This window comes from Homo sapiens, chromosome 21, assembly GCF_000001405.40.
Source record: "Homo sapiens chromosome 21, GRCh38.p14 Primary Assembly".
NCBI classification, from domain to species: domain Eukaryota; kingdom Metazoa; phylum Chordata; class Mammalia; order Primates; family Hominidae; genus Homo; species Homo sapiens.
In genome coordinates this window covers 41,634,336-41,643,449 of record NC_000021.9, presented here as the reverse complement: position 1 = coordinate 41,643,449, position 9,114 = coordinate 41,634,336, and the positions used below count along the sequence as shown (strand labels likewise).

The 9,114-nt window shown below is 49.6% G+C and overlaps 1 long non-coding RNA gene across 1 annotated transcript; it reads right to left on the bottom strand.

The window, feature by feature from the left end:
• Positions 1-1,662: 1,662 nt before the first annotated feature.
• LOC105372812 (uncharacterized) lies at positions 1,663-5,569 on the bottom strand. The gene is made up of 2 exons (XR_937741.1): positions 5,389-5,569; positions 1,663-2,683 (listed from the first exon to the last, which is right to left on the bottom strand). It is a non-coding gene; the product is annotated as an uncharacterized LOC105372812 (long non-coding RNA).
• Positions 5,570-9,114: the final 3,545 nt, after the last annotated feature.

The following is a 9,114-nucleotide window of genomic DNA, read 5'->3' as shown; positions in this document are numbered from 1 at the left end:
CATTCCTAACCACAGGGTGTGAGAGCTCCAGTCTCTGCGGCGGCCCTCACTGTAGTTATTCTAAGCTATTTGTAGTAATAGCCATTGTAGTATATATGTATATATTTGACAGTGTCTCCCTTCTGTTGCCCAGCTGGAGTACAGTGGCACAGTCACTGCTTACTGCTGCCTTGACCTCCTAGGCTCAAGCGATACTCCCACCTTAGCTTCCTGAGGAGCCACGACCACAGCCTAGCACCACCACACCTGGCTAATTTTTTTTTTTTTTTTTTTTGTAGAAATGGGGTTTCATTCTGTTGCCCAGGCTGGTCTTGAACTCCTGGGCTCAAGTGATCCTCCTGCCTCAGCCTCCTGAGTAGCTAGGACCACAGGCTAGTTATATCATGCCTAGCTAATTTTGTTTATTATTTATTTATTTATTTTTGTAGAAACAGGAGTTCACTGTGCTCCCCAGGCTGGTCTGGAACTTCTGAATTAAAGTGATTCTCCCACCTTAACCTCCCAAAGTGCTGGAATTAGAGGCGTGAGCCACCTCCCCTGGCCAAACATTAATTGAATTAAGTCTTCCTGAAAGTGCTATTAAAAACCCAAGGAAAACTAGACATTAGAAATGTGAAACAATACCTTCGATGTTAATCAAAAGTGAAGGAACTAAGAACGGTCTTTTCTGTTACACAGGCTGCTCTTGAGGACACCAAGAATCTCACACTAACTGTTTTCTGCTTTCCTACCTTAGCCCACAGGAAAGGTCGCCCATCCTAAACACACCCTCTCCACAGCCTCCCAGTCAGCCCTGCCGCCCCCCGACAGTCTCACCTCTCCTCTGATGAAATTGCACAGAGATTGGATAACTGCCCTGTGGTTTTAAGTGGAAAATATGGCTTCCTGGTTGAACTTCAGACTGTTCTATGAGATAATAGACCCTTTTTCTCTGAATCTGGGTAATTCAATCCTGTCTATCCCCACGTGAAAGTCTGTCCAGTTGGAGAAATATTTAGTAGCCCCTGTGCTCTGCAGCTTAGTGAATTCCAGGGGCTGTGAGCTTTTGAGGGGTCTAAGCCCCCAGAGCTCAGAGCAGGCGCCATGCCTGTGACAATTCCTTAACACACTTGTGCCACTCTCAGAGAAATCCACTGTTGAAAGTCCATTTAGTGGTCAAGATGATGAGATGAGTAAAACTTGGAAAATTTTACTGCTGAATGACTAATGCATGTTTTTTACCAAGCTATTTTCCTCGTATCATGTTCAATTTTGACAACTGGGAAACTGTCTGCATTTGTATCAGAAGAAAGGAGAGAGACAAACAGGATTTCTTTCCATGAACATGCGCGCTGCCTTCCTTTCCGTTCTGTGACTCACGGATGTGCCGGCCAGCCTTCTGACGGAGGCCCTGAAATGGGGATATTGTGTTCCTGATGATAGGATCTGAGCACTCCGGGGGCCACGACGTGATTTGGATCAAGGGGGTCATTGTTCTTTGGGGGGTTTCCAGTGAGGCATGGGTTTTCTCACAACCCTGTGACTAAGCTGTGATAAGCTGCTGGCTCCCTGGGGAACCTGATAGGGTCTGGCCGTTTTGAACTTTGTGGATTTCTCTGGCTCTTCCTGGCCCTCTCCCACAGTACCCATAGGATGATTTCTTTCCTTTCTGCCTTTTTTTTCTTTACCTTTGCTGAAAAGACAGATTCAGTGAAAGCCTGTGTCTTGTTCTATTACCCAAAATGTTAGCATCCACCACACTCAGGGCACTCCCCGTGAGAAGCAGCCTCCTAACATGGGCTTGTCCCTGTCCCAGGGAACGTGCAGCCCTAGCTCTAACAATCTGCAGCATGAAGGGGGCTGGAATCTCTCCTCTGTAGTCGGTCTTTAGACACTCTTTGGAAATAATAAATATTGTGCAAAGAAAAGTGGATAAAAATTGCATTTTAGGGAGGGTATTGGAAGTGCCTCCCCCAGCCCAGGCACTTCCCTGCCAGGTCATTCTTTTTGGGCTAGTCATTGCTTTCCCCTTGAGGCAAATCCTCCTTGGATGGGCCTGTCCTGAGAGGGACTGAGGTCATTGGAAAGTGCTGGCTGGACTCAGCATCTGTGGTCCTTGGTGTCAGAGAGACCAGAGTTTGAGTGTGACCCAGCACATTCTGGCCATGCAACCTCTGCCAGGTTTAGATGATCCCACGTGGATTTCTCTTCTATAGTTAGTGACAGCAACAACCAACATGCAGGAGTTAGTTCTCAACTGTTTTGAAACGATGGTCACCTCCTTATCTCAGGTCAGACACTGTCTTGTTAACAAGCTCTCAGGAACCGGTGGTGGCATGTCAGAGACCGCTAGTTATCTCAGGGGCACGGCCTCTTGCTTTGACTATTTTCCATTGATGGGACATTTGACATCTCTGCCAGGGTTCATATTAACTTGAAGAAAATGGACAGTGATGCAACTGACTCTATCTGCTGGCAATACAGTTGAATTTGTCTTGTCGAGATGCTGATAGCTTACTGAACAATAGATCATCACCCAACAGGGACTGTTTTATTGCACCCTAGGGCCCTGTGATCTGGCAACATCCTTCCAGCATGCCTTCTGTCAGAGACTGTAGTCTTTCATTCTTTTTCTACTTTTTGAACCAGCTCTGCCACCATGCTGGCTTCCATACTGAGTTCCATAAACCATTGACAGATGCTCCTGTTACATAAGAGTCATACTTTTAACTTGTAAAAAATTCAACCTCAGCAAGGGCATCATTCTACCCCCACACCTTTTCAATCTCTGCTGCCTCCCTCACGTCTTCTTTTCTCCACCCTCACATCCTAGAAAATCCATCCAGTCGACTAGGAGCAGTAGCTCACACCTGTAATCCTAGCACTTTGGGAGGCTGAGGTGGGTGGATCACCTGAGGTCAGGAGTTTGAGACCAGCCTGGCCAACATGGTAAAACTCCATCTCTACTAAAAATACACAAAATTAGCCAGCTATGGTGGTGGGCACCTGTAATCCCAGCTACTCGAGAGGCTGAGGCAGGAGAATCGCTTGAACCCAGGAGGCAGAGGTTGCAGTGAGCCAAGATCGCACCATTGCACTCCAGCTTGGGGGACAAGAGCAAAACTCCGTCTCAAAAAAAAAAAAAAAAGAAAAGAAAAGAAAAGAAAATCCATCTAGTCCCAAGACTTTAGGTACCTAGATGCTGACTACAAAATAGACCCATCTCTAGGATGGAGAGCGCTCCACCTCCATGGCTGTATGGCTCCCCCAGACCTCTCGACTTGCGTAGCTGTTCGTGTCTTAAGAGCATCCACATTGAACTCATCCCAGCTGAGCTCCTGGCTGCCTCCCGCACCTGCAGCAATCTTTCTCCTTAGCTCTGCAGTGGAAATGCCACTCTTCTGGTTGGTCCAGCTGAGGCCTGAGAGGGACCAGGGGGTGACAAACACCCTGGAACTTCACAGCTGGAAGCAACACTCATTTCACTTGCTCCGTCTCTCCACTGCACTGCTTCTAGCCTGTTAGTGTTCTCGGTTTCCTGAACATTGCAGGCATGATCCTGCCTCAGCACCCTTGGCCCCCCTCACAGTCTATATCAAATGTGTTGGGAATTCCTAGTGGCTCCACTTCAACTGTCCCCACCTAGGCACCTCTCTCTCTCCCCTCCACGCCACCCTGGGCCACGTCTCCATCAGGCTCTCACCTGTGTCCTGGCCACAGCCCCCACCTGGTCTTGAGTGCCCTGCCCCATTCACAGGGATTCTCTGAGCACACCTCTGCTCTAAGCCATTTCTCCAGTGGCTTCCAACTTCATGCAAAGCAAGAGCCAAAGTCCTTTCAACAGTCTACAGAGCCCTATATTCACTGTTCTCAACAGTAGAGAGCCAGAGAGCTGGCAGCGTGAGGAACCCCAGAATCCCTGCCAGCGTGGTTCGGAGGCAGCAGGCCTGGGGTGGGCCTGATAACTGGCATTTCTACCGGGTCTCCAGGCAAGGCTCTGCTGCTGGGCCTTGCCCTCCGTGATCTGTGCTCCCGGCCCCCGGGAACCACACGTGGAGGCGAAAGCAACTCCAGCTTGGATGCCAACCCACCATGCTGACTTTGAATAGACCCCAGTTCCGGAAGGCCTCTATGATTTCTAAGTTATCTGCTGTTTGTTGTGTAAGAGCACCCACTTAAATCTCACCCTTAGGTCAAAACAACCTTGACCATAACTCCTGTCCTTAGGCAAATTCACATAGCATTCTTGCATATGTGAAATTTCCCTACAATTGTCCTACACCTTCCTTCTGGCACTGTGTAAGTCTGAGGAGTAATGGGGATCCACCATCTAGTCTTGCTGCTGACAGAGATATAGACATGGCTTCTGTTCACACGTTCCTGTTAAATGTTTCTTTCTGGATTACCACGGTGGCTCACACCTATAGTCCCAGCTCCTAGGGAGGCGGAGGCTAGAGGATCACTTGAGCCCAGGAGTTTAACTCGGCAGTGAGCTATGATTGAGCCACTACACTCCAGCCTGGGTGACAGAGCAAGACCCTGTCTCTAAAAAAATTAATGAATAAATAAATATTTCTTTCTAAGAAACTGGATTTTTCAGCCTCTTTCTTCAGCCTCTCAGCTTCCTCAGACTTTGGAGGTAGGTTTGCATAGACCTGCCCACTGCAGAACACACATCTTGAACATTCATGCCCTTACACAGTCCTCTCCCCCTAAATGTGGTGGACCCTGGGACTCACTTTAATTAATTAAATGTGGCAGAAGTGGTGCTGTGCCACTTATGGGCCTAAGCCTTGAGAAGACTTGGCAGCCTCCACTTTTGCACTCTTGGGAGCTCTGAACCACCACATAAGAAGGCCAGCTATCCTGCCAAAAGTTTCATGGAGAGAACACACAGAAAGGCCACAGAAGGGAGAGAGGCCCTGGGACCACATGGAGAGACATAGAGAGAGAAATCCAGTCATCCCAGCACCCCCATTCTGGCCAGCCCAGCTGACATCCCAGCTAACAGCAGCCACATGGAGGGCCACCAGCAAGACCAGCAGAAGAGCCGCCCAGACGAGCCCAGCCCAGATTGCAGACTCATGAAGAAATAAAATGGGTTGTTTTCAGCTGTGCAGTGTGGGGGTAGTTTGTCATTTCTGCTTCTTCTCTGACCTCAGGTCACATGCCTTTTGCTGTTGTCAAACGCCACAAGCACAGTCCTGCTTTAGGACTTTTGCACTTACTGGTCTCCCAGCCTAACCTTCTTTTCTCCCAGCTACCTGCTTGGGGTGTTCCCACACCTCTTTAGGCCTCTGCTCAAATCTCACCTGAATACCCAATTTAAAATTCTGACCCTCTCAATCTCTCTCCCCAGCTTCATCTTTTCCAAAGGACTTACTACCATAGGAGGCTTCCCAGATTTACCTGCTTATTTCTTTGTGTCTGTCTCCCCTTGTCGAGAATGTGAATTCCTTGAGGTGAGTCCTTTCGCAGGGTCTAGAGTATGCATGGCACATTATAGGTACTCAGCAAAAAATATATTAGGAAGGAAGGAAAGAAAGAGGGAGAGAGGGAGGGAAGAGAAGAGGGAAGTAAGGAGAAACAAAAGAGGGAGAGAAGGCTGGGTGCAGTGGCTCACACCTATAATCCCAGCACTTTTGGAGGCTGAGGTGAGTGGATCACTTGAGGTCAGGAGTTTGACAGCAGCCCGGCCAACATGGTGAAACCCATCTCTACTAAAAATACAAAAATTAGCCCGGTGTGGTGGCACCCGCCTATAATCCCAGCTACTCAGGAGGCTGAGACAAGAGAATCGCATGAACCCAGGAGGTGGAGGTTGCAGTGAGCCGAGATCGTGCCACTGAACTCCAGCCTGGGCGACAGACCAAGAGTCCATTTCAGAAAAAAATAAAAAATAAAAAATAAGAAAAGAGGGAGAGAGGGAGGAAGAGAGGAGGGAAAGAAGAGAGAAGGAAAGACACGAAGGCAGAGCAGAAAAAGGAAGGGAAGAAGGGACGAAGGCCAGCCCACTTCGTAAGTGGGTTGTTATAGAAAACACCTGGCAGGCTGCCCAGCACATCATAGAAGACCCATAAAGCAAAGCGTCCCACTCCACAGATCCCCTTGGTGAGGATCGAGGTGGACAGTGAGGGAACTGAGGGCAGGGAGGCAGATGAAAGGGGAGAGGGCACAGAGCAGGGGGCTGGAGCTGAAGATGGGCTCGAAACACTCTGAATTTTTCTGTGTGGGGCTGGCTTGGCTCCAAACCCTGGCTCTTGTCCTGAGTGGAGGAAGAAGCCAGCCTGGCTGTCTCCCCTGCCCTTGCAAATCCAAGGCTTCTCCTGCATCCCCTGGGTTCAGGATTGAGAACAAGAAGAGGAACCTCCACAGGGCCACCCAACGGTAGCAAGAGCCCTTCTGTTGTGCCTGGATCTCAGCCACATAGGCAAGGCTGTGGCACTATCAGCTTCAGGGTGTTTGGGAACATCCCACCCTCAACCACACACTGAGCTTCTGGAGCCACTGTTCTCAAACACTGTGTACAAAGAACATTGGGAATTTGTTAACATGCAGATTCCTGGGCCTGGCCTAGATCCTAATTCGAAGGGGCCGGGCCCAGACATATGCATGCTTTTAACAAGCTCCTCTGTGATTCCAGATTCTGATGCAGATAGTGCCTGGGCCACTCTGGGCGGTCCTGCTCCCTGGGAACTTGTTGCCTTCCCCAGGACTTTGATGTGTGTCAAAGATGACAGAGGGTCCTCAGAACCCACTGTGGGCAGAGGAGGGACCAGCAGAGCTGGCGGTCCTCTCTGCTTACTCTCCCTTTGCTGGAACTCCCTCTCATGAAACTGCCCCCACCTTTGATTCTTTCTCCAGGACCCATATTTACCTGTCTGCACATGATCTCCCCAGCAGAGAGCATTCAGGAGTCATGAGGTCAGAAGAACAGGGAGGGGAGCATTGGAGTCAACCCCCTGCCCCTTCACCCCAACCCCTGCGAGGAACAACATGGAGTGTGAGTCAGGGCAATGAGAATGAAGAAAGGCCCCACAGGGCTGTGTAGGGCAGGATAAGGGGCTCCCTGTAAGAAGCCAGGGCATTGTCCCACATTTGTCCTACCAGGGGAGTCCTGTTTTTTGCATCTTGACTAGACTTTAGAGGCAGGCCTAAATTCTTTATCTGGGTATGTTTAGAAGAAACATAGGCCTGGCAGAGTCAGCACTGGATGGTGGGTGGAAGGATGAATGGATGAGTGGGTAGATAGATACATGAATGAATGGATTAATGAATAGATGGATGGGTGAGTGGATGGATGGATGGAGCAGGTGGATGAGTGGATGGATGGAGTGGGTGGATGAATGGATGGATGATGGATGGGTGGATGAGAAGATGAATGGATGGTGGATGGAGTGGGTAGATGAATGGATGGATGGATGGATGATGAATGGAGTGGCTGGCTGGTGGATGGATGATGGACAGGTGGATGTATAGAAGGATGATGGAAGAATAGATAGATGAAAAGATGGATGGTAGAGTGGGTGGAAGGATAGATGGATGAGTGGGTAGATGAATGAATGGATAAATGGATGGATGGATGGTGGATTGATCAGTGGATGATAAATGGAGAGGATGGATGTATGAATGGATATATAGAGGGATGATGGATAAATAGACAAAAAGATGGATGATGGAGTGGGTAGATGGATAGATGGATGGATGATAAATGGATGAATGAATGGGTGGATGAATGGATGAATGGATGGATAGATGGATGGATGGATGGACAACCTTCACCTCTCTGGTTTGAGGTTTGGATTCCATGCTCTCCGGGGTTCCTGCCAGTCCTGGTTGTGTGAGGGTCCATCACTGTAGAATCAGACTATTGGCTGTGGGGGCTGGGGGTGGTTCTTACGCTGGCAGGGAAAGTGTGAGAGCAACTTGCGGGTGAGACAGGATGAGAAAGAATTGTTGGAGGAGGCAGAGGGAAAGGAGGGCAATAGCAAGGTAGTGGGGGGAGGAGAAAGGTGAAAGAGAGAAAGTGGGTAAAGTAAACTAAGTCTGGCAGCTTTGAAGGTTTCCCCAATTGCAGACCCAATTACTTCTAATAACACCTTGGAGCTCCTTGGCGCCTTCTCCCAGAAGCTCAAAGCCTTTGATTGATGCTGTGAAACTGCTTGACGTTCCAGCAGGCAAGACAGATGTACCATTAATAGCAACATTTATTGCCCAAGGTCACAGGGCACTGGGAGCAGGCCCTAGAGGGGCACGGGGCTGGGCACACAGGGGAAACATTCCCTCCCCTGATCTTCCCTCCTCACCGCCCCGAGGGCCTGGTGCCTTGTATGGTGTGCCCTGCCCGAGCTCTCAGAGAGCCCAACCGTGAATTCATAAGCATTAGTAAGTCACCGGTTCTCACGACACACTATGAGCTCACAGCTGTAACCGACTCATTTTCAAAACAAGGACGCCCAGACTGGGGCAAGCCAAGTGACTCCCCCTAAGTCACTCAATGTGTCAAAGCTGGAACTGGGAAAGGGTGAATTTCAAGATTTGAAGGCCAAGGTTTATCCTTAGGCCACCTGGCTGGTGTGTCCACAAGCCAACATTGCAAAGGAAAGTGATGAAATCAATAGTTGCTGCAGCCCCGAGAGCACTCTCTCTGCCATCACCATGTGGGGCTTCAAGCCACTTTGCTTCAAGCCACTTGGCTTCACAGGGTCTCAGTTCCTTATCTCACTGCCCCCCTTGCTGGGTGGGCCTCCCTCTTCCCAACCTGCTCTTCCACATCCCTCCCTGCCTTGATTAACTGAGGTCCTCCTTGTTACCAGAGTCACAGGCTGAGGGTTCTGCAGGTTAGGATGGAGGGGGCGGACTGGCGTTCCTCAGGCCTGAGTCAAAGAGGTAAATTATCCAATAAAGCAGCATTACCAACCCCCTAAAAAGAATCCTCAACACAGCAGCCAAGAATGCACCTGAAAGGGTGTGATTTCTTGGCTTCCTGGCTCCAGAAGTACCCTTTGTACCTTTATTGAGATGAGAAAAATGCAGTGCATTCTTGAGCTGGGCCTCAGGGGAAGTCTTGTGGAGACTGGCAGGGGTGAGGCGGGTAATCACCCTGCCTGGGGCCATGAGTCCTCCACCTGCAGG